The sequence below is a fragment of the Homo sapiens genome, chromosome 4 (genome assembly GCF_000001405.40).
Source record: "Homo sapiens chromosome 4, GRCh38.p14 Primary Assembly".
In the NCBI taxonomy this organism is placed as follows: domain Eukaryota; kingdom Metazoa; phylum Chordata; class Mammalia; order Primates; family Hominidae; genus Homo; species Homo sapiens.
The window spans coordinates 131,555,058-131,582,380 of NC_000004.12; the positions used below are offsets into that span (position 1 = coordinate 131,555,058).

General features: G+C 33.8%; 1 long non-coding RNA gene across 17 annotated transcripts in view, besides 1 other annotated feature; it reads left to right on the forward strand.

Moving 5' to 3' along the window:
• Nucleotides 1-27,323, forward strand: part of LINC02377 (long intergenic non-protein coding RNA 2377) — a 338,568-nt gene that overhangs the window by 175,301 nt on the left and 135,944 nt on the right. The window lies entirely within an intron of this gene.
• Nucleotides 10,601-11,800: an enhancer, noted in NCBI's record as "CDK7 strongly-dependent group 2 enhancer chr4:132486813-132488012 (GRCh37/hg19 assembly coordinates)". NCBI's record gives its function as "activates an origin of replication core promoter dependent on BRD2, BRD4, P300/CBP, MED14 and CDK7 cofactors, with strong dependence on CDK7, by STARR-seq in HCT116 cells {active_cell/tissue: HCT116}" and the evidence as "EXISTENCE:reporter gene assay evidence [ECO:0000049][PMID:35650434]".

A 27,323-nucleotide genomic window follows, 5' to 3' on the forward strand; every position in this document is an offset into this window, starting at 1 on the left:
GGAAGTATATTGTGGGGTAATGTGATGTGGGAGCAAGAATGAGGACCAGGGTGAGCCAAGCAGGAAAAAAAGTAATGTCTACTCTGTCTGCTGTCTGGCATTCACCCATATTTGCATGAGAACATTTATTTCAAGAAGTTAGAAGAAGAAGAGCAAGATAAATCCTAAGAAATTATATGGAAAATGTCAATGACAGGAGAAGAAATTAAAAGAATGTAAGTATACAACAGAAAGGATCAACAAAGACAAAATATTCTTTACAAATTATGTGCCTAGACTTGACACATTAAGGCATTTTCTACTCTAGGTAACTACTTGATATAATATTTATAATTAATTTTGTAAAGGCTTTAATAAAATATATGTATTAATAACTAGGAAAAGGTAAGTGAATCCTGGATTTTGTGAATAGAAATACTAGGTTCATTGAAAAAAGATGATACTCTTTTCCATAATATTTGGTTCAGTTTAATAAAGAATTCTCTATATTTTGTAATCAAGTTTTTACATATCTAGTTGGCAGTGTTTTCTTTGCTAAGTGTGAAGTAATAGCTCAGCTTTATTTTCTGAAGTAATACCTCATTTCTTTGGCTTTTAGCTATAATCATCATTTCTCAAGTCAAATGAGTACATTCTGTTCTGCAAGTTCTTAGGTCTCAAGTTGATTTAGAGGTGTTTCGAATATTGTTCACAATTCTGCATGCTTGATATATTGAGTCATAAAGAAGTATTAGAATGAAATGAAAATATTAATTAACCTAGGAAGAATAATAAAAGCTTGACTGAAATAAGTGTGTTATATAAAGCAAGTATTTTCTTCTCACTTATCTCAGTTAAATTTTTTCTGCTAATTCCCCTTGATATTTACATTTTGAAAAAGAAAGAAACAAGGCATCAGTGATCAATGACCTTCTTTTCTATTTAAATTATTTTCACCCAGCAATCCCATTACTGGATATATCTCCAAAGGAATATAAATCATTCTATTATAAAGACACATGCACACGTATGTTCATTGCAGCACTATTCACAATAGCAAAGACATGAAATCAACCCAAATGTCCATCAATGATACACTGGATAAAGAAATGTGGTACATATACACGATGGAATACCATGTAGTCATAAAAAAGAATGAGACCATATTCTTTGCAGGGATGTAGATGGAGCTGGAGGCCATTATTCTTAGCCAACTAATGCAGGAACAGAAAACCAAATATCACATGTTCTCACTTATAAGTGGGAGCTAAATGGTGAGAACACATGGACACATAGAGAGGAACAACACACACTGAGGGCTATCAGAACGTGTAGGGTGGGAAGAGGGAGAGGATCAGGAAAAGTAACTAATGGGTGCTAGTTTTAATACCTGGATGATGAAATAATCTACAAAACAAACCCCCATTACACGCATTTACCCATGTAACAAACCTGCACATGTACCCCTGAACTTAAAATAAAAGCTAAAAAAAAGCTGAAGCAAATACTAAAAAAAAATAAATAAATTGTTTTCTTTAAAGTGGTAAAATTACAATATTTATGTATATATTTCTTTTTTTATATCTATAAAGATTTTAGTTAGAATATTTTTAGTTATCTTAAAAAAGAAATGCTGTCATTTTATATGTAGGCATAGAACATTAAACTGTTTTATCTCTTACCTTAAAAAGAAAATTGTATGATGATTTGGTATTTTCATTGTTTCCTGCATATTTTTATTGAGTTATTCACAATAATATAAACTGTGAATTTTTTCCTGAAGTGACAGTAATTTAGAATCCATCAGCGTGTTAGTCATTTACTTTTTCTCCACAATGTGCATTATTTAGCACTTTTCTGTGTAAATTATTATCTATCATCATATTTTCCAATTACTACCATTAGCCTGACACTTGAGTATTCTCTATTCTGACTGCTGTGGAAATTAAAAAAAAAAAAAAAATCAACTCCCTGTATTTTCACATTGCAAAAAATCTTAATATTGGTAATTATGAATTCTAGTGTTTATTTCTACAAATCCTCTAGAAAAGTTAAGGATATATTATTTGAATTGAACATCTTTCTTTACTTTTAAGATTAGTTTAAATTTTTTAAAATTAAAACAGCAATATTTAATGTGACTTTCATTTTGTTAATAGAGTCATTTCAATTATATTAAAATTAATTCATTTGATTCTAACCCAAATTACTCACAATAGTTTCCATAGTGTAATTTGAATTTCTCTCAACAAAGGTTGGAAAACTATGAAAACTCTCACATTATAACAAAGTTACACATGAGTTAATTAAAAAAAGTTAATATTAAGATATCTCAATTTAAGATTCAGATAGCCAATTTAAAAGAGAAGAAAGAACTTATAATGATGACTTATATTCAGAACACATTAGATAGAATCTCAGGTTTATTTTTTTCAAAGAATTCAGCTAAATACAGAAATTTTACTTTCAGTGCAAGAGTAGTGATGCTTCTCCATTTTTTCTTTGAAAGATTCAATTTTCTATTTAAATAGAAAATTATTTTTATATTTTCGAAGCAATATTAAAGTTAACATCAAAACAGTAATTTTCACTTACTAGAAGGAAATTAAAATAAATGTAAGTTACACTGAAATGATTTTATAAATTTACATAAGCTAATTTTAATATGACATTTATGTATTTAATAAAAGTCACCTGTACTTTGGGAGGCCAAGGTGGGCTGATCATGAGGTCAAGCGTTTGAGACCAGCTTGACTAACATGGTGAAACCTTGTCTCTACTAAAAATATAAAAATTAGCTGGGCGTGGTGTCATGTGCCTGTAATCCCAGCTGCTCCAGAGGCTGAGGCCGGAGAATCACTTGAACCCAGGAGGCGGAATTTGCAACGAGCTGAGATCGCGCGACACTGCACTCCAGTGTGGGGGACAGAGCGAGACTCTGTTTCAAAAAAATAAATAAATAAAAGGCTACCAAATGACATTAGTTTTTAGAACTTTATTCTACCCTAAGGTAAAAAATAAGTGCCCTGATTACTTATTTAGAGATAAGCTTCATAGACCGGTATATTGAAAGTGGCATGCTCTATTGTTTTGAAGCATTTTTGGAGTAAAATGTAGGCATATATCTTCTCAATTTGATTGTGATTGACTGGGCATTATTATTATTATTTAATTTTCTGGGGTAAGGCATGGAAGTCTAGGTTTTAAAAAAGTCCATAAAATTTAGGAGCTAGTGTCTCATAAATCTGATAGATTGAGAAACATTTTTCTATGTTTTAAAATTTTACTTTTTTCAGATTCCATTGGCCAGACAGAAGGTTAGATATTAAAATGATCAGTGTACAAATTTTTAAAGTAATATTTAATGCTAAATAGCTTTTATTTTCATATTTAATAATAAAATATCTAGGCAGTTTTTCTAAAAAGTAGTCAATCCATAGCTGTGTTGTTTTCATTCTTGGCAGTGATATAGAAATTATAAAGGAAATCAAAGTCAAGAATATTATTGATAGACAAAATTATCAGTTTGTGTTAACATAGAGGCTGATGATGAGACTATTTTTATAATCTTTGTTCTCAAATTGAACTTCCGCTTGGGTTCATTTAGTTGTTTTATAGAACTCTTAAAATAAATAATTATATTATTTCAATAAATTGGAAAGCAACTTTTTGGCTTAGAAACATAGGAAACAAAGAGCAAATATCATCAATAAGACTCAAATTTCCCCAATTTACAAGTCCTAGCAATGAGATATAATTGAATGAAATAAGGAGAGCAACAATTTATCTATGTAGAAATAATTTTATTTTTAAATGCACATTACATTGTATATTTTGGTTAGATATAAATTTAGATATCTTTCAAAGATAGTTTTCATCTATGAATTACTTTTCATCATAATCAAACATAAAATTCATACACAATTTTAAACATGCAAGGAACTTTTAAATATATTAAGTATAAAAATTAAACAACTATTGAAAGATATGTTTATAGTACCTTAAAAGAAAATTTTCCTGAAAATAAATTTTGAAGAGTTTTGGTTAATGGAACATACTGAAAATAGCCTTACTGAAGAAAACCGGCTAATGTGTGCTGTGAAATACCAGTATGGAAATTTTAAGAATATCTGGTTGTAACAGCTGTAAGCCCATGGGGCTCCTATAAATAATTTATCTTATAACTGTATTCAGATACAATTATTAATCATTAACATTTATTAATAAATACTAGATAATGTCCCAGTTATTGTCATGTACATTGTTTTCATTATTTTCTTAATGTAGTGGAAATTATAACGTTGATCTAAGCAATGAGAAGACTTACGTTTCGATGAATGTTTGGGTGTGTCCAAGGTCACCCAATCCTTAAATGGGGAGACTGAAACTCAAGGAGAGATAATTCATATTTGACTTCAATGTTTTTATTATAGTATTTGTCAAGTTGTCCTTTTATTTTTACTGACTCTATCATGAAGGTCCAGAAACAACAGAAAATTTCAAATCAAAGGAAGACAAGACAAATAACGACTTCTTTGCTTCCCCCCCACACTCTTTCCATCTACAATTTCTATACAGATCTTACTTGTATTCATTACATGAGTATCCATATTGCCTTTATTCTCAAAGGTGTGTGCATCCTCTTTAAAATTATTCTCTGAGGAAAATATTTCTTTACCTTAAAAAAAGTCACATATCAGAATCTTCGCTTTGTCCATTTTCTTTTTATCTCTTCTGATAGTGAAGGTGTTTTGAAGGGCCTGTTATTTATATTTTATGACATATGAGAAGACTGGATATAATATATATGTTTGAAGAAAAATGGCTGCTTAATAATTTATTTTTATATAGCTAAGGTTTAATTGCTTCTGGAATACAGTGGTCAGTGATTTTAGTAAAAAAAAAAAAGGTAATTATAGATAACAGAGGCTGTAATTTTATTCATGTGCTATGATATTTAGAGGTAACCAAGAATATTTCAGTTTTTTTCAGTGATCACATTACTTCTAGCCACTCTTATAATTACAATTTAGCTCTTTTGCCATGTGTATAAATATGTAGGCCTTTCATGTATATTTTTATACATGTACCAATTCATACACTCTAATAAAAATACTATATGATGTAATCTGAATTCATTTTCCATAAAATAAGGTAAACAGTAACTAAACTAAAAATCAAAAATATTGTAGGCCTATACTATTTCCAAGACTATAATTTGTCAATTAAACCAAACACATTCATAGATATAATGTGGGGCAAAATAATAAATTAATAATCTTCTGGTTTCATTGTAAATTCTGCTACTACTATTAGTAGAAATGTGCAGATAAGAGCAAATTTCAGAGTAGGTACAAAAACATAATGCATTTTCAGCAAATATGAATATTCTCACTAATTAAATGAAAAATTAAAATAGCACATTTTACAGTAAGTATTAGTAGGATATGTGTTGTTTTTCCTTACACTTATAGTATAAACATATACACATTTGTACTAATCCAAAATGTGTTTTATAAACTTTCAAATAATATAAAAATAAAATATGTTATCAGAAGCCTGTCCAATGTGAGACTGTTTTGTAATGTTTACCATGATTCTTTTAGGTTAATTACCTCTTGAGGTTTGCTTTTCAGTGAGATAGATGCCTTCTTTTTACAAAAATAACTGTGTATATATGTGTGTGCTTTAATTATTTCTATGCAGTTTATATACATGTGGGTGGCTTATCTATATGTTCGATATTACTTCTCAATATAAAACAAAAGTGTATTTGAGCCTAGAGCAAGTCAAAATGAAGATTTTCTGATGCCATCGTGTAGAGCATAAGGCCTCAGTCATTGGGCTTTCTCTAAACCTTTGTAGGTTTTGAAGAATGCCAGTTTTATAGGCAGAAATAGTTTCATGGTTTGTATCCTGTGCAGTCACATAGGGTCCTGATATCAAAAAGGCTGCTATGCTTGATTTAATACTGTGCAGTTGCCTTCTTAAAATTCTTAACGATTTTTGAACAAGAGGCTCCATATTTTCTATTTTACCTGGACTCTACATATCGCATAGCTACTCCAGCTCACAGGGTGCAGAAAGGAGGGTGAAATTGTAACTTTTGCTTCAGAATAAACTACAACTCATGGACTACAGCTGTATGCCCCCGAGGAAGCAAGCTAAAAGTTTTTTGTTTGTTATTTTGAGACAGGATCTGCCTCTGTCACCCAGGATGGATGGCACCAACATGGCTCACAAAACCTTCGACCTCCTGGGCTCAGACAATCTTTTCACCTCAGCCTACCTAGCAGCGGGGACTACAGGCACATGCCACCCCACCTGCCTAATTTTTGTAAAGATGAGGTTTCGCCATGGTGCCCACCCTGGTCTGGAACTCCTGGACTCAAGCGATCTGCCCACCTGGGCCTCCCAAAGGTGCTGGGATTATAGGCATGAACCACTACGACTGGTTAAGCTGAAAGTTTTTAACCTCACTCCCAATCCCTGAACTATACTGTAAGACATCACATTATCGTTAGTATGAGGTAAAATAAGCAACACACACCAGCAAAGTTAAGGGTCAGTTATGGCAAAATTACTAATAGGTAAAAAGGGTTAAGGTGATAAATATTAAATGGGCAAAAGACAGACATAATATTATAATAATAATTGTTAATAGCTGTAAAAATTTTGAATTAATTTAGATGTAATTTTAAAAGTATGTATCTTATGATGTGGATGTTGAAAAATATACAAAGAAGAACTTAGTAACTCGTATTAGAATATTTTAATATGACTTAACTACAAACTGATAAGTTAAGGAAAAAATAATTGCAAATACTTGGAACCTTTGAGGAAAATAATTTAGTAAATGTAATCTGTGTTCAATAGAGAAAGTATATAAATTATTTTCAAGTTCATATGAGAAAATTAGCCCCCAAAATGCACATTTGGCCAAAAATAATTTGTTAAATAAAGGCCATGTAATTGATATCATATAAGTCCTATTCTCAGATCACAAAACAATGCAATTAAAACCCTACATTAATCACCATTAGAGCACCAGAGTAATAATTACTGCTGCAAAATCCACTGATGAATACTCAAATTAGTGGGCAAAACATTAAGGAGAAACAGAATATTTGCATAAACTTAAAGTATCTTCCTCCAAATTTATAAAATACAGCGATGGATTTAACATTTGAATATAAATTATTTCATACCCCTCCCCTCAGGAGGTGGAGTGCAATATCCTTCTCATTATTATGAATGTGGGCTGGACTTAGTTACTCCATTCGAACAGAGAATAGAAAGAAAATATTAACTTTAGAGAAAAAATTTAAACACCACTTTAATTAAGTGAACAAGGTTAACATTATCTATGATAAGTCATGTTGATATTATTCACCCTCTGATATGATGTGATGAGCAGGGGAGTGGAGAAAGTCCCATGTATGAATGGATAAACAAAATGAAAGAAAACATACATGCATATGTGCATACACACCACAATTATCTGTTATCAAATATATACTATTAGGGATCAATTTAATTGAATTCATGAATCAGCTTCTCAGCTTATCTTGGTTTTTTTAGTTAAAAAGAATGTTATCAACATTTTATTAAAATAAATGATCCAAATTCATAATTCTAAGAAAACCTTTTATTGAAGTTTAGTATATACAAAGCACACATGTCATAAGAGTATATGTAGAGTAAGCCCAGGGAAGAGTAAGCCCAGTGAAGTTTTGGAAAGTGAACGGACCCATGTAACCAACTTCCATATCAAGAGATATATTATTAATAAAGTCCAAGAACCAAGAAGCCACCATCCAAGAACCAATTCATTTTCCCCAAGAACTGAAATTTCTGTTATCCTAGTATATGCAAAAATTTAAATTATCTTAATCAATAGGTGATTTTTTGTGGTTGTTACCATGATTTTGTTTTGAAAGTTTAACTCTGCTTTATTCTTTATTTTATTATTGATAGATACAAAAATAATCTTGTTGATCTAAATGTGATGTAATCCAGACTTTCTGTGGCAGTCAGACTTACCATGGAGCTAAGACCCTGGTCATCTTAGGATCTTTACAAATAATAATGTTTTATTAGAATTTTTGTTTGTTTGTTTCAAAAATCTTAGGTTTTTAAGAATCATTTACAAGATTTACCCCAAATTGTGTAAATACTATAGAAATTTATAGCTTCAAATTCAATAAGCCATCATAAATTCACTTTTTGCCCTGAAAGAAAAATTCATATTTAGAAGTTTGAGACACTCCAAAAGTAAGAGTTAGGATGCTACAACTTTCTTTTTTATTAATTTTAATGTTAAGTTCTGAGGTACATGTGCAATATGTACGAGTTTGTTACATAGGTAAACGTGCGTCATGGTGGTTAGGTTCACCTGTCAACCCATCACCTAGGTGTTAAGCCCAGCAAGCATTAGCTATTTTTCCTAATGCTCTCCTTCCCCATAGTCCACCCGCTGACAGGCCCCAGTGTTTGCCATTTCCCTCCCTGTGTCTGTCCATGTCTTCTCATTGTTCAGCTCGCACTTATAAATGAGAACATGTGGTGTTTTGTTTTCTGTTCCTTCATTAGTTTGCTAAGGATAATGGCTTCCATCTCCATCCATGACCCTGCAAAGGACATGATCTCATTCCTTTTTATGGCTGCATACTATTCCATGGTATATATGTACTACATTTTCTTTATCCAGTCTATCATTGATGGGCATTTAGGTTGATTCCATGTCTTTCCTATTGTGAATAGTGCTGCAACTTTCAATGAAAGACAATGGACAACCATGATGTGTGTTAAACATAGTAGTGACAAGGTCAATATTACTTGTGATCAAAACATATTATCCTACAACGTTCTAAAGCTTAGAAAAGCTTGATTAAGTTTGGGATTAAACGTCAATAAACATGGGACTGTTCTGCAGCAAAATCCACTCAAGATCATTTTGCTCCTCATTTCAGACACTTTTAAAATTTTAATTAGGTAGTTTTTAGTATATACACAATGTTGTAAAATTATCATCACTGTCTTATAAGGGAATATTTTTATTACCTCAAAAGAAACCGCATGAGCTTTAGCATTAACTCACCATTTTAATTTTAATGGACTTTAATTGGACGGTTTAATCCATTTCTATTTAAAGTAACTACCAATAAGAAAGGACTTACATCTGTTGGCTAGTAATATATTTTTGTATTGCCCTGCCATTTCCAAAATGTTTTCTTCTAACTTATTCATGTGATACCTATAGTAATTCTGTAAAGAGGGTTTCATTATCCCCATTTAGAATGGTTTTCTATTTCTGCATAACAAATTACTGCTAACATAGTTACTCCAATAACGTGTTTGCTAACCCACATTCTGTTGGGCAGGAATTCAGAAATCATTCAGCTGGGTCCTTGGCAGAGTTGCAATCCAGGGGTTAGAAGAAGATAGATTATCTTCTTCATGATGCTCAATTAGAGAAGGTTCCAACTCTGTTCATTCAAGTTGTTGGAAGAATTCATTTTCCTTGAAGTTGTAGGACTGAAAGTAGCAATTTCTTGCCAGTTGTCATCCTGAGGCTGCCCTCATTTCCTAGAGGATACTCATAGTTCCTTGACGTGAAGTACCCTCAAATATATGCTTGCTTCCTCAAAGTCAGCAAGGCAGAAAGATAATTCAGAAGGATCGTTGCTACAAACTTACATGTAATCATGTACATCTTGTCATAGTTGCTATTACTTTATTGGTTATAGTCAAATCAAATTCCCACCTATCCTCCAGGAAAGGGAATCACACATGGGCATGAACACTAGCAGCAGAGATGATGGAGCTCACCTTAGGAGTTTATCACCCACACCATCTCTTTCTATAAAATGAATCATCTTATGCTGCTAGGTAAATAGCCTAAACAAAATTTGAATACATTTTTTACTCTATTATTTTGGATACATTAATTTTATCCTCTATGTAATCTCGCTTTATAACCACAAAGTCAATGGGTAAAATAATGCATGAAAGAATAAAAACATGATAGATTAACCATGACTTTAAATACTGGATATGTCAAGAAGAATTTTTTTAGGGCTACTACAAAAACAATTGTCAGAAATAGTATTGCCAGATCCATTTTAAAATGCCAGTAATTTAAAAAGTATTTTAAAAGTAAATTTATATTAAATGTAGTGTTCAACCTTAAAAACTATTTATTTAGAACAGTGTAAAACTTGTATTAAATTATTTTGGTTACTGTAGCCTTGTAGTATAGTTTGAAGTCAGGTAGCGTGATGCCGCCAGCTTTGTTCTTTTGCCTTAGGATTGTCTTGGCAATGCGGGCTCTTTTTTGGTTCCATATGAACTTTAAAGTAGTTTTTCCAGTTCTGTGAAGAAAGTCATTGGTAGCTTGATGGGGATGGCATTGAATCTATAAATTACCTTGGGCAGTATGGCCATTTTCACGATATCGATTCTTCCTATCCATGAGCATGGAATGTTCTTCCTTTGTTTGTGTCCTCTTTTATTTCATTGAGCAGTGGTTTGTAGCTCTCCTTGAAGAGGTCCTTCATGTCCCTTGTAAGTTGGATTCCTAGGTATTTTATTCTCTTTGAAGCAATTGTGAATGGGAGTTTACTCTGTATAATTAAAAAAAAAAAAGAACTTGGAGCATAAGCAATGGTACTAAGATGCCTTAAAGGAAATAATTTATCTCTTCTCTGATCGGAAGCTTCGTGTTTCTTCCTGGGATAAATAAACAAATACATATATAAAAACAATAATTTTGGTGATTAATATGAGATGTACTTGCATAAACATAACCTTCTGCAAAAAAAATAATAAATGAGAACCATTGGGCCAATGTAAAAAGGTGGTGGATATATTGATATCTTGTTTTGTCAGTTGGGAAGTACATCTTTCTCCATGTAGTTGCTCATTAAGGAGGATTTGGTAAAGTGTTTGAAGGACAAGTAACAGAAGGTAAGATTGGAAAAAGAAGACTGAATAGTGCTTTTGCTTTTTGCTCTTACCTCCCAAGCAGCAGAGAAAAATTCCAGAATTCCTGAGAGCTGGTGGGGTTTGGTAAACAAAACTCACTTTCAAAAGTGAAGAAGTGTTCTCTGTACCCCCTTATTTCTTGCTTCTCCTCTATTCCAGCCTCAGCAGCTTTAATGATTCAGAATTGAGTCACAGTCTACACCCTAGGAGAACAGAAGGCTTTATACAATCATCATCAAAAAAAAAAAAAAAAAAAAAGCCAGCACTTTAAGGATGAGAAAGATTCAGAAGTCTTTAGCACTGTTGGAAACAGTCACCCAAGACACTATCCTGCCCAACCATGGGCACAAGAGTGAATGAAGTTACCATGGAACGTAGGGTGAAGTCATGATAGTCTGTGAGGGCTAGGGAGAAAGAGCCCTTCATCCCAGGCAGACCTAAAGGCTGGAAAGTGAATAGGAAAGTAGACAAAGAAAGGGAAAGAAAGCCTCCGAGTCCAAAGCCATCCGCGATAATTTGCTTCCAAAGCTCTGGTGTTTTCTAGCCCCCATCAGGTGGAAAAGTGATCTCCCAGCAGCTCTGAACCTAACCCTTGAAATGCTGAACTTAAGCCATAGGATATAGCAAAACTTGCAGTGAAGAAACATGAAAGAGATTAAAATGACCTTTGCCTTGTTGCTTCTATATATGAATGTATGGTAGAAATCAATGCTGGATGTTACATGTCTATAAGTTTTTATCCCTGTAACAAAGTGATCATTCTGACAATAGGAAAGTTGGAGATAGATAAGTGAGTTAATAAGACAAACTCACCTGCCCTTTGCCACTAGTGAGTTTGTTAAAATTGAGCTTGAGTGCCAATCAATTTATTGGCTGCTTTGGGTACTGAGGATAGAACAACTCTCTAAAAGTGTTAATGATTTTTTGCTGATTAGAAACTTTTCAAGAGAAGGCTACATCCAAAGAGATGAAGTACTTACTGGCAGGTAATCTTGGGGTGATTTAGACTTAGGGTTATGAAGGAGCTACTAGATATATTCTTCTATGAAATGTAGGTTGTTAATGGGCTCTTGTTAAACTGAAGTTCTAAGCCATAGAAACCTGATACCTCTCTGGCTTAATGCTCTTTTTTTTAAGTAGGTCAAGTTCAAGTCTTTATTTAAGAAGGTGGAAAAGGCTGGAAAAGCTGTGCTTATTGATTAGATATGGTGTGGTGAATATTGTTGCTAACATGTTTCTAACAGCCTCTTGGCTTTACATGAGAATATGGCTGCTGTCCCTTTGGGAACATGAAATACCATCATTGGGGTGATACTGGCATCTTTGGGCTGGGAGGATTTATGTCCTGCTCCACTGCCTGAAGTAAAGCTGAACCTGTTGACTCTTTTGGAATTTGACTCACTAAAGTTCCCCTAAGTGACAGAAACTGGATGACTGATGTTAATTGAAACCCAGTGGTGTTTACTGTAGATTTTTCAGCCTCAGTGCCAGCTATTCCAAGCTGAAAGCAGGCATGACCATCTGCTCAGTGGACAGAACTTGGACTCTGAAACTGCTACAGATGAATATCACCCTTTTTGGGGGACATGGTTGTGGAAGTGGATCATAATTGTGGAATGAACTATCTGGATCAGCTAAGTAGATACACTTGGCAATGGTCTGTTCTCTGATGAGAACACCTGAAATCACACTACTGCCTGAGTATTGTATGTTTCCGAGGCAGAGGAAATCAACTGCAAGTCAGACTATGACTTGTTCCAGGGATGCCCCCTTCATCTCTAGGTTATGGAGGACTTACTACATAGACTGTGGCCCCAGTATCCTCTGGCAAATTTACAAATTCAGGATTTCTACCTGCTCTCCAGTCTTACTAATTAGCTGCCTCTGTCACATGGTCCTTGAGGATAATTTGTGTCATATATTTGGCTTTGTGGACCATTTGCTGTTTGATAAGGAAGTGCCTTTCATGGTAGAATTTATACAACAACAAGCTGATAGACTGACTTTACTTCCTTCATCTTCTGATCCACAGAACTTAGTTTGGCAGTTTGCTGTTGTCAGTTGATTGGTTGGTTTGTTAGTTTTGTAAATGCAGTCATACTAAGAAAGGGATTATCTCCTCTATTCTGTTGCCTAGAGGATAATCAGGATGAAAGGAGTGGGGAACTTTAGGGATTATATTTTGAAATTTCAGAATTCTGCCCTTTCTATTCCTGGGCATAATGCATCATTCTTTCTCTGGACTGCACCCCCACATCAGCCTGGGTAGCAGACTCTCTTGACTGTAACTTGCACAAAAGTAGACCTAGATGATTTACTCTTGATTCTGGCTGAATTAGATGAAAATGTGTTTGTCCTTCTTGCACCAGAAAGATCTACAAGTCAGACTTTGCACCAGAAAGATCTACTGCAAGAGGGACAATAGCATTTTCATATAATTTCTAGATGATGTCTGAGTGACGGCAGATGACTGGGGAAAATGGAAATTTGTGTTTACTGAAATAGGACAGACTAATTTTGTGAAAGTGAAGAAAGAAAAAAAAAAATCCCGACACATGAGGAGACAACTCTGTAAATACTAAAAGGTACAGACAAAAGGAGCATTAATATTCATTGTTTCAGAATTGCCCCGGGAGCTTTTCTCCAGAAGGAAAATACTCTAGTATTGCTCCCCGATACAGTTGCAAGTATCTTAAAGCCCGAGTCTGCCATCCCTCACCAGATAATTCTGACCATGAGTCAGTCGGTGATGGTCCCAGCTCCTACACCTTAGGTTAAAAGCACCTCTAGATGTTGCCTTCACCTCTATTCTCAGTCATTCTGAGGGGTTCGTGAATTGTGTCATGGACAAGCAGGGCAGATTGAACTGACTACCCTGAAGCAGTCCCTCTGAAACCCGTGACTGAATTCTATCATTTACACTGAATAAGAATATCTAAGGCTTACCATCTTGTGGAAGATGGACAGTCCTGCAGGAAGCTCCAGTGGGGTACTACAGATCACTGGGAACTTGCGCCATCTGACTGTTGTATGTTTCATTTGGGAGGCCCCAATAATTGTTTCCAGGGGAACTGTATTTGCTTCAGCATTGTACTTGTGTGAAATGCATGTATTGATTTTTCTCACTCAGAAAAACACTGTGATTTGCACATAGGAGTGGTTATAATATACATTTAACTATTTTTTTAAATACCACTAGTAAACCAGGTAGCCCTCAGTTGACTGTGAAGATCTCTTCAAAATGAGGATATACTCAGTTACCTGGGAGAATTTCCTAGAGGTAAAACTGGCTTATTATTCATACATATTATGGTAACAATTTTACCCACAAGGGAGTCATTCCATTTACAAAGTTTAGGCCAGACGCTGTGGCTCGCACCTGTAAACCCAGCACTTTGGGAGGCCAAGGCAGGTGGATCACTTGAGGCCAGAGGTTTGAGACCAGCCTGACCAACATAGTGAAAACCCGTCTCTACAAAAAATACAAAAATCAGCTGGGATGTGGTGGCATATGCCTGTAATCCCAGCTACTCAAAAGGATGAGGCACAAGAATCACTTGAACCTGGGAGGCAGAGGTTACGGTGAGCCAAAATGGTGCTGCTGCACTACAGCTTGGGTGACAGAGCAAGACTCTGTCTCAAAAAATAAATAAATGAAAATATAGTTCAAAATTTGTCAGTACCTTAGACTTTTTCTTGCAAGCCAAGGTTGCATCTGTGCAATCACTAGTGCATCTGGCTTAATGCCTTGGCTAGATGGAAAGATCTATACAGAAATTTAAAGAGAAAGCTACCTGGTTTCCTAAGATTCATTGATGGTTTACAAGATTTATTCAGCTGGCTGAATTTTGGAGCTGAAATAAATACTGCAGGTTGGTTTCACCCTGCTTCCCTGAGTCCTACTGATAATCGTGTTAAGTGCCATATAAGACAAACTGAATAGATGTGTTTCTAGCCCTGTCATTCTTTCATATTCATCAGAATGGCCAATTCAGTGGTACACTGATGGAAAATATGCCGGAATTTAGACCACACAGAATTGAGGAGTAGACCTGTTAGGAAATAATGCTCATGAAAATATCCTCATGTCTGCTTAGTCAGTTTTCTCTTAAATGAAAAAATGACAACCTGAGTTAAAGTATAATTGAATTGCCACCCTTGAAGACATAGAAACATCTTCCCCTAAGCAATTTGTTTAAATTTTAGAGGTGGCCAAAATAGAAACCTTCCCCTCCCCTCAGATAGGTTTCATCTATATTCCAGAGCAAAGTTTAATCTCCCTCCCTTCCTCTCTAAGGCAGGGAAGATGGACTGACTGCTTTGCCAACTGTCTTAGACAATTTCCAAGATTCAAAATTTTGTTGTCCTCCTGTTGTACAAGCCCCATTGTACGTTCTGGCCCTCAATATATAACCATGTCAGGAAGTGAGACATACAGAGGCATGAAAGCTGCTTTGTGAGTAAATAAATGGTTTGATCCTTGATCCTGAGGTCTTGTGTTTTTGTCAGTGTGTTTAGGTGCATGTGTGTGTCCATACATCATATGCACAGACACATAGATAGACACACTAATATCTGTTTGTTCATACAAGATGACATTTCAGAAACGTCACAGTTTAAAATTCAACTCTAATAAAATTCCAGTGGCATAATTAGAAAATCAGCAGTAAATGTTAAAAACCCAGCTCATGCTATGATTCTCTAGCCATGTCATGTTCATTTTTGAAAATTTAGAAAAATTTAGAAAATTTAGTTGGTAACATTATTTTAGCATAAATATTGGAAACTCTTGATGCAGCTACATCTTAAAATTATCAGAGTTAATCAACGTAGGGAAAAACACAAGGGGGCTAACACCTGCTAAATGACCCTTAAATGAAACTTCTCATTACAGTTATGTATTTTAATAACACTTTTATATACTCTTATTAAATGTTTGCCCTTTAAGGGCATACATAATTTCCATCTATGTAAATTCTCCTAATTAAAAATCTCTACAGCATCATCATAAACTTTATCTGGGTATTGTGATTAAAAAGACCTTTGATGTCACAGTGTTATATAGCTTAAAAAGACACATTTATTTATAACCCCTAAGGTAACAAAAAAATAGACGTGATGAACTCTTGAATTTTTTGCTTTTAAAATAACTTATCAGGTCGAATTCTGACTTCAGTATACTTATGTTGTCAATAAATATATTTTATTTATGGATAGTTTACAGTATGGTTTATCTTTATCTACCATCTGGAATAAAAAGAGAGATAATGATAGTAAGCTATTTAGTAGCTCATGGCAGCTGGTACATAAATTTACAGTTATCAATTGACAAACAGCAATTATCAATCAATACCAGTAAAATTATGTCTACTAGTTACTATACTTGAAACATTAGCAAAAATTGTACACTTACTAGTTCAAAATTAAAGAATGATTATATTATTGAAGTCTGTATATCATTTCATTGGATAATGAAAACTCTATAAAAACTAACAATAGCTACTTTATTCGTAATTGCTACCTTATTCTCTTTAATTTTATCACAATAAATATCTAACTATTACATATTAATAGAGTAATATTGATAAAAAATGCTGGTGACTAAAAATTTATATTAAGAGTTTTCTTTGATTCTGCCCTTTTGATCCTCCTATTCAGAAGATCCTCCTATTCAGAAGTTTATATCAATATGTAATTGACCTGCTATTGTTTGCATTACTGTCTCTCCCATTTGATATTGGAATTCATTTTTCATCCATGTTATAATCATCTTCTGCTGTCTTTCCCTATCCTCTGATACAGCTGTTCCAATTAATAGCAGTATCAGTTTCTAAGCCCGATGTGGTTGCTCACACCTGTAATCCCAGTACTTTGGGAGGCCAAGGCAGGTCTCGGCTGGACCCTGAGACCAACATGATCAATATGGTGAAACCTTGTCTCCACTAAAAATACAAAAATTAGCTAGGCATGGCGGAGAACGCCTATAATCCCAGCTACTCAGGAGGCTGAGGCAGGAGAGTCGCTTGAACCTGAGAGGCAGAGGTTTCAGTGAGCTGAGATCGTGCCATTGCACTCCAGCCTGGGCAACAGAAGGAACCTCAGTCTCCAAAAAAAAAGGGCAGTATCGGTTATCAGTTTCCAATACCAGGGCAGAGATTTTTAATGGGTAGTATTTATATCAGAGTCAGGACGCATTGTTTATATCATAACATTAATCACCCCAGCACAAAATTACCCCTTGATGATTATCTCCTGATATTTTTTGCATAATTATATGTATTTTTTACTATTCAGAAAATATTTGCTGTAGTACTCTAGCCTCATTTTTCAAAATGGCAATGTTCCAAGATCATAGTAGCTATGAACTTTTTGAAATACTGTGTAAAGTTTGTGTTTTACTCTGTAGGCTTGTTGTTAAAAACAAGGCAGCACTAAAATTAAAAAGAAAAACAATACTCTCTTGCTATAAAATACATTGCTTTTAGTTTATTTTGCTTAATTATTTTGGAGATGCTGAAATTATCCTTTGGCTATCTTTACATTAAGAAAATGGGTGGTCAGTTACTTGTGTCTGCATCCTTCACAGGACCATACATAGATTTCTGTACCCTAAATGTGTTCACTGAGTGATTGGATTGAATAAACTTAAGTTTGACAGATTGTGTTTCTCAAATTATTCTTATCTCTTCCTAGGATTAGTGCGAAGGAAAAACAAATTTGTTTGTTGATATTAAATCAATGTGTTTTATCAAAATAAACTGGGTTAGTATGTTTTGCTGTGATTATAATCATCTACCAGCCATAAACAAAAACTTAGGCTACTCTGTAGGGTAGCCCTGCTCTGTAAGGAGCAGTTTAAAAAAATGCTTATTAGTTACAGGTTCTAATTGAGAAGGGAACAAATAGCCATGAAACATTTTGACATATTATACTGCTAATTATCAAATAACCTACACTATGCATTTCAGTTTATCTTCAAGTTTTGAACATTTTTTTGTATTCTCATAACATCAATATTCTTTATTCTTATCCAGCAAATCTAAAATGACACATATCTTTATAATGTCTATAATAATTCATTTTAGAATCTATATATAACATCATTCTCTCTTCATTTATATTCAGAAATTTTTACAACTCGGGCTGGTATTAGTTTTGACACTCTTTGGCTTCAAAATGCCATTAAACTCTTTAATAATAGACAGGTGGGGTTTATGGATGCCAGTCAGTCATGTAATGCTGTGAATTTATTACATATGGAACATGCTTCTGTCTTATTTTAAAGGGTATGTAGGTTTAGTTCTGTGTGTTTGCATTCATTAACATGTTGTAGAGAAAAGCAAATCATCACCATAATCCATTTTTGACATTTTTATCACATTTAACCTCATAGATTTTGATTTATACACTTTTCAAGTATAGAATGCTTGAGGTTACTGAACCAAAACCATTTATGATGTTTGTATGCTATTTGGACTAGTTACTGTTTTATTGACACTTAGGAAATAATATTAGAACAGCTATAAATCTAACTCAGACCTTGTATGGTAATATTCTGCCTTGGAGATTTTGTCTTTCTGTTGATGTCAGAGACAAAAATAAATTGTAAATAAAAGTGAATTAAAATGTATTAATACATATCAGCTGACTCTACATAAATCAAAACCTTGTCGCCAACCTCACATCCCCAAATAAGAAGACCAAGAAGACATAGCCATTGAAGAAACATGAGGAGATAGATGTGAGAGTAATCCTTATTGGCTGAAAACTGTGGGTGAATGTGGCAAAACTGCATATGGATATAAGATCACCAGAAAGAAAGAGACTACATAGGCCTAACAAGAAATATTCAGCAAATGGTTCTTTCAGAGTTTCACCCTCAGGAATAAAACACTGCTTACAGAAACCAAATTGTACCCATAGAAATACGGAGGGTAATAGAGAAAAGAGCTTCAGGTAGCTAATATGGAGGGGCTTGAAAGACTTAGATTCCATCTTGAAATTTTCAAATGTTCTTAATCAGATTTGACTTTGAGGGAGAGTAGTTATATAGAGGGGTCATATTTAGAGTGCTTTCTGGGTAGCAGAGTAGCAACAGTTTTCAAACTATGAAACCAGAAACTGCGATAGCACATAAGAATGTTCACCAACAAGCCTAAAAAATCTTTCAGGTTAATCCATGGAAAGCAAAGAATACAATCTAACCCACTTAAAATTAATATTTTGAAAAGACAAAAATGAACTAAGTAACATTCCAATAGAAAATGAGGATACGCCAGAAAATGAGGACACACAAAATAAGGAAATGATAGGTTAATGTTTCCAGCAACCTCAGAAAAGAGCACTTAGAATTAAAAATGAAAATATTACAAGTGGTACAGCCAGTCAGAATTCACATGTCTCTCATATCTGGAGTGATAAATTGGACAAAACTTAGTAGGCTAACAGAAGATCTGAAAATGTTTACTTTATTAGTAAATCTATGCAAAATACTAAAACCACAATAAAAATATACCTACTTTTGAAGTGCTACTGTGCATTTAGAAAACCTAATCACATATTAAGTCACAAATGCAACTTTAATTTTTAAAGAAGATAGAACAACCTTTTCTTAATGCAGTAGAGTAAGAATAGATGTTAATGGCAACAACAATGGAAAAAAAACTCTTCAACAGAAAAAAATACTTCAATTCCTATTAAAAATCCCTTGGTCAAAGTGGAAATAAAAAATAAAATTGCATCATTTGTACAAAACCACATGAAAGATCAAACCTATCAGCATCTATGTGATACAGTTAAAGTGATGCTACTAACACTGAGTGGATCTATTTCAGCTTCCTGTTCATTACCCTTGTCTGTCTTAGCTATTGCCATATCTGCAGTGGGAAAGGAAAGCACCTAGCATGCAATAAGCCGCCAATGAACATCGCTGAGTTCTCAATTATTTATTTAATACAGAGCAGAAGCAGAGATACCATGAAAAAATACTGCAGAATAATAATAATGATGGGAGAACATACCTGTCAAACAGTAAAACCTCCTGTAAAGTCACTTTAATCTCAATACTGTATTTCTCTGATGAACAAATTTATATGAAAAATACATATACGATAATGTTGATATTTTGATGCATTTTAATATGATCTGGGAGAAAATACATGTGTTTCCCCACATTAATGCACATAGAAATAATAATTCCAGATGCAATAATAATAAAAATTAAATAAGAAAATAAAAAATGTAACATTAAAGAGTGTATTTTTATAAATTTGGAGTAACATTACCTAAAAAATAGTAAAAATTGTGAAAGTCAAAAATGAAAATTAGATGTATATTTGTTACATTAAAAAATTTAAAGTGAAAAAACCAAACACATACAAAGAACAATGAATAAACATATCTGATAAAAAACTGAAAACTCATAAGCACTGAGATTCCATAAATCAGTATAGAAAAAGACAACAGAATACAAATAGTGTTCAAATGTCAAAAGAAAGAAAGGGAAATCCTCAATAACCCATGCATTTGAGAAGTGATTCCCAAAGGCATAAGTCAAGAAATAAGAAAACAATAATAAACTCTTCATTTGAATTTTGTGGTAAGAGCAGTCTTTCATATCCATACTTGGTGAAAGAGAATATGTATTTTACTTATCAATAGAGTAGTCAGAAAGGAACAATTAAAATGAATTATTTGTCCTATCAGTTGCACTCTTTGCTATCTACTTTTTAGAAATAGAGCATAGGGAAATACTGGCGAGGGAATTTGTTGCAACAACGTTTGCTGTTGAAAAAAATTGTGTTTTCTTCATAAAAGGAAAAAATAATGAGTTATTAAACAGAATTGGATTTATAGCTAGAAAACAAAAAGTTCATTACTAAGTGAGAATACATTATATGATTTTTACAAAAGCAAAAATAATAAAACTTTTATATTTATATAGTAAGATTTTATTTTCTAGACTTGTTATTGTGTGTTATCTCAAAAATGTTTTCTCCTTGTTGAGAAGGAGAGTAGAAAACAGAATTTTATAACACATAAGAAACTGTTAGCATTGACACATTCCTATCAAAAACCATATTTCTTCTTCTCTGATTTTATAACAAAAAGACAGAAAAATTTGTCACAATGCATAAAAATGTCAAGTAGGAAAGAGAATAAGCTCATAGGCTATGATCTAAATATAGCTCTGCTCTCTCATCAATTTCTCATCTACAACTTCATAACATGAGGATTTGAGGAGAATGTTGTATTAAAGTTACAATTGGTTATTTAATGCCATGATTTAATAAAATATAATATATTTATTTTTATAGTTCTTCCTACTTTTTCCCGTATTTGAAATTCAGAAATGTGCAAAAAGTGCATAGTGATTTGAGAAATATTGGGTAAACATCACAACATTAAAATTATATAGAGTATTTGTAATAACAGTACTACCATTTATGCATGCTTTCAATGGGCCAAGTACTGTAACAGTACTTGATAGGTCTAATCTACTAAATATATACAACTATCCTACAAGATAGACGTTCATTTTATGTATAAACAAACTGAGGCTTAGGCAAGTAATTTGATCAGAGTTACACAGCAAGTAGTGTAAAATTACATTTGACTTCATGATGCCTCCATACCTTGGGTTCTTACATAACAAACTGCCACCTAACTTAATATGTAAACAAACTGAAAGACTAATTTTAGGAGTGTCATATTTTATAACAGATAGGTAAGTCTCAGCAAATCACAGCAGCCAAGCTTCAGCTAATCACAGGCTACATCTAACTGTAACTGATTATAGCAAACATCTAACTGTAACCAATCAAGCTGTTTCTGTACCTCACTTCTGTTTTCTGTCCATAAATGCTGCCTATATCGTGGAGCAGAGCTCTCTGAAACTCTTCAGGATCTGAGGGCTGCCCAATTCACAAATTCTTCTTTGCTCAATTGAACTCTGTTAAATTTAATTTGTCTAATGTTTTTCTTTTAACACTAGTAAATTCAGGATTTTATGACAAGTTTTTTTTTTTTTTTTTTTTTATACTTTAAGTTCTAGGGTACATGTGCACAACGTGCAGGTTTGTTACATACGTATACATGTGCCATGTTGGTGCGCTGCACCCGTTAAATCGTCATTTACATTAGGTATGTCTCCTAATGCTATCCCTCCCCCATCTCCCCATCACATGACAGGCCCCAGTGTGTGATATTCCCCTTCCTGTGTCCAAGTGTTCTCATTGTTCAGTTCCCACCTATGAGTGAGAACATGTGGTGTTTGGTTTTTATGTCCTTGTGATAGTTTGCTGAGAATGATGGTTTCCAGCTTCATCCATGTCCCTACAAAGGACATGAACTCATCTTTTTTTATGGCTGCATACTATTCCATGGTGTATATGAGCCACATTTTCTTAATCCAGTCTATGGTTCATGGACATTTGGGTTGGTTCCAAGTCTTTGCTGTTGTGAATAGTGCTGCAATAAACATACGTGTGCATGTGTCTTTAGAGCAGCATGATTTATAATCCTTTGGGTATATACCCAGTAATGGGATGGCTGGGTCAAATGGTATTTCTAGTTCTAGATCCTTGAGGGATCACCACACTGACTTCCACAATGATTGAACTAGTTTACAGTCCCACCAACGGTGTAAAAGTGTTTCTGTTTCTCCACATCCTCTCCAGCACCTGTTGTTTCCTGACTTTTTAATGATTGCCATTCTAACTGGTGTGAGATGGTATCTTATTGTGGTTTTGATTTGCATTTCTCTGATGGCCAGTGATGATGAGCATTTTTTCATGTGTCTGTTGGCCACATAAATGTCTTCTTTTGAGAAGTGTCTGTTCATATCCTTTGCCCACTTTTTGATGGGGTTGTTTGTTTTTTTCTTGTAAGTTTGTTTCAGTTCTTTGTAGATTCTGGATATTAGTCCTTTGTCAGATGAGTAAATTCCAACAATTTTCTCCCACTCTGTAGGTTGCCTGTTCACTCTAATGGTAGTTTCTTTTGCTGTGCAGAAGCTCTTTAGTTTAATTAGATGCCATTTGTCAATTTTGGCTTTTGTTGCCATTGTTTTTGGTGTTTTAGACATGAAATCCTTGCCCATGCCTATGTCGTAAATGGTATTGCCTAGGTGTTCTTCTGGGGTTTTCATGGTTTTAGGTCTAACATTTAAGTCTTTATTCCATCTTGAATTAATTTTTGTATAAGGTGTAAGGAAGGGATCCAGTTTCGGCTTTCTACTTGTGGCTAGCCAGTTTTCCCAGCACCATTTATTAAATAGGGAATAGTTTCCCCATTTCTTGTTTTTGTCAGGTTTGTCAAAGATCAGATGGTTGCAGATGTGTGGTATTATTTCTGAGGGCTCTGTTCTGTTCCTTTGGTCTATATCTCTGTTTTGGTACCAGTACCATGCTGTTTTGGTTACTTTAGCCTGGTAGTATAGTGTGAAGTCAGGTAGCGTGATGCCTCCAGTTTTGTTCTTTTGCCTTAGGATTGACTTGGCAATGCGGGTTCTTTTTTGGTTCCATATGAACTTTAAAGTAGTTTTTTCCAATTCTGTGAAGAAAGTCATTGGTAGCTTCATGGGGATGGCATTGAATCTATAAATTACCTTAGGCAGTATGGCCATTTTCACAATATTGAGTCTTCCTATCCATGAGCATGGAATGTTCTTCCTTTGTTTGTGTCCTCTTTTATTTTGTTGAGGAGTGGTTTGTAGTTCTTGAAGAGGTCCTTCACATCCCTTGTAAGTTGGATTCCTAGGTATTTTATTCTCTTTGAAGCAATTTTGGATGGGAGTTCACTCATGATTTGGCTCTCTGTTTGTCTGTTATTGGTGTATAAGAATGCTTGTGATTTTTGTACATTGATTTTGTATCCTGAGACTTGCTCCAGGTTCTTATAGGGTAATGTGATAAGGGTCTGATGTCAATGCACATGCAAAGTGATTTGCACTGCAAAAGAGGAAGCTTGAGTTTATGCATGCATAAGGTCATGGATGAAGGTATTACTTAGAATTTAAGGAGGATAAATTATTCTCAGTTCTATGTGACTGAGTAGTGGTGAGGAGATAAGAAAAGGCCTTCTGAATAAATCTGTTTCAATTTATTTCACAGTTGTTTTCAACATATACTCTTCCTTTCGTTGCCTTCCTAACATTATACAAGTGTAGAGAAATTAATCATTTTTCCTCTGAGGGGCCCATATGGCTCAGAGGCGAAAATCCCAGGAGTAGAGTAGATAAGACTATCATAGCCCTGGTGATCCCATTTTTCTAGTATTTGATTGAGGAACCATGGCTTAATTCAAACACAATACATGACTTAGCTTATAGGAATAGTCTTTGTTTCAAGAGTTTGAGTGTAAACTAAATTGACTCAATCAGACTCAAAGGAAAGGCTTCTATTGTATTAGTATGTGACAGCCTCAATCTCTTCTATGCAGTTTATGAAAAATGGAAAATATAGTCTATTTTATTGATAACCATATTATGATGACAAGATGAACTAGCTTTAGGACATCACTGTCACTGAGGATAGCAGGAAGGAGAGAAAGCAAGAATCAGAGTTCTTGATGACATATTGAGTCACTGTCTTTTGACTTGTTATAGGTCAAACTATTCTTATTATCTAATCCAAGGTAAATTCGATTTACTGGTACTTGCAGTTGGTATGACACTACAGATACAAAATTCGATACAAGAAATTGAGAAGTATAAAACATTATATTTGCCAAGTGGATAAAGTAGGATGATGAGTTTCTGCTAAGGACGTTGCATTAGCACCCTTCAAGAGGCATTGCTTTTACAGAGCAAAATGTAAATGGTGTCCCTGGAGTTGTGTGCTGAGGTGAATGGTTTAACTACTGCTTACTGAATCAGCAAAACCATTATTTTTAACACTATTTTGTATTAGTTAGTCATATGAATTTGTCAGTAATATTTCACTTATGTTGTGCCAGAGGTTTCCTTAAGGGCAAATTAAATTCGTTACAATTAACCAATTATCAAACAAATATAAAAGCATATCCTTTGCGGTATTAGTTTTCTATTGGTGCCGTAAGAAATACATCACAAACTTAGTGGCTTAAATTTATTATATTACCATTCTGGAGGTCAGAAGTCCAAAATGAGTTTTAAGAAGCTCATCTCAAACTGTTGGTAGGGCTGGTTCATTCTGGAGGAGAATCTGTCCTTTGACTCTTCCAGCTTCTAGAAGAGTGTATTGTTTGGCTTCTGGCCCCATTACTGTAATCTCTATTTCCACTGTCGCATTACCTTCTCCTTCATTTGACCAAGGTCGCTTGTGCTTACATTTAGGTCCCCCTGGTATAACCCAGGATAATCTGCTAATCTCAAAACCTGTAATTAGTCACATTTGCAAAATTCCTTTTGCCATGGTAAGGTAACATATTCACAGCTTACAATGATTAAGACAAGGACATATTTGGAGGGCCATTATTCAGTGACCATAACTGCATTATGATAAATATCAGTGATGTAACTACTTTATTTCTTAAAGACCTGTATTTTGAAGGAGGTAACATATTTGTCAAATAGAGCATTACTCTAGCCTACTTATGCTACCAGAATGATCACTGTTTGTTCTTAGAATAAACTCTAAGAATAAAATGACCTTTGTATCATAGAATCATGCCTTTCTAACTGTTAATAATAGGTATATTTTAAGATCTCATAATCAATCTAAATTTCAACCAAAAATATATAATTTACAGGGGTTTATTTATAAGATTTAGTCAGATAGAATATGTGCTGCATTTTCCTTATTTTTAATGTACCATAAAATTACTGTCCCAAACTTGAGTGTACAGATTTGCCCAAAAGGTTGATACCAATTTCCTGGTTTTTTAAAATCAACACTGTCTTCTAATTTCAATTTTCAACAATATTATTGTATTAACCTTATGAACTGATAATATAGTTAAATATAAAATATGTTCTAAGCAATACCATACTTTGTTTCTAATGTTTTTTTTCTCTTCATTGGTATGTATACTCTGAACACATGATTACTATATATGCTGCAATTCTCTCATCATCTGAATAATAAGATGTATATAATATTTACTTAATCATTATTGATTGGCTGTTAGAAAAATTATCATAGTTATAGGAAATAGCTTAATAATCTTTCCTCTGATTGACTGGAGCTCCTTATGTTGATTCAATTGTACAACAGATTTTACTTCAAGAAATGTGTTTCAATATATAATGGCTTTAATTCTCATTTATAACACCTTTGCCCATTAATTCAAATATCTTTCCTGCTTAAAAATATGGTACACAATTGGAATAGACTTTCTGAATCATTAATTGATAAATCTGTGCATTGTCTATATTGTGGCTTCCATTCATCTTAATTTACATAACTCTATTTTAAGTCCCCAAATCATAATGCTATTTCTTTCATTTCATTTCCAATAAGCAAGTTGTATTATACATTATTTTCTATTATATGTCATGATGGTTAATTGTAATATGTCAACCTGACTAAGCCACAGAGTGTCCAGATACTTTTTAAAACATTATCCTGGGTATGTCTGTGAATGTGTGTCCGGATGAGATTAACATTTAAGTTGGCAGACTGAACAAAGCACATTGCCTTCTCTAAATTGTTCAGTTCTCATACAGTCTCTTGAAGACCTCAATAGAACAGAAGGCTGAGCCAGAAAGTACTCACTCTCTCTGATGATCTTCAAGCTGGGACATTGATCTCCTGCTTTTGGACAGGAGATCTCACACTTGGCTCTCCTGGTTTTCAAGACTTTAGGCTGCAGATCTTGGAACTTGTCAGACTTTGTAACCATGTTTTTTATGTTGTTTACAAGTTACTAAATACAACTTAAAAAAGAAAGACATAGTTATTTCTAAGAGCTGTTCACTAGGAACAAAATGGTAGAAATACCTCAAAGCAGAGAACTGGTTGGAGTGAATGAAACAGCAGCATATGTTATAAATTATTCATCTTAATTATTTCTAATGAAACAAATGTAGATGTAATCTACCATTTATATTTTGTAAGAATGATCATTCTATCTGTGAAAGAAGTTTAACTTATTTGAAATTCTCAAGGAAGTAGTATTATATTTATATTATGTCTACACTTAAAATATTATAAGTGAGTAAATTATCTTGACTTGCTGATGCTTTAATGTACCATGAATCTCAATACAGAGTATAACTAAATCTTTACAGTAGTTGATTCTGGGAAAACCATTATTAGGGGACTTTTACTTTTTAGAATCTACTTTTAAAGTCTTGGGAGTATTGGTTTAGACTAAATGGTGTTTCCTCAAATTTATATTTTGAAACTTTAACCCCGAATGTAACTGTATTTGGATAT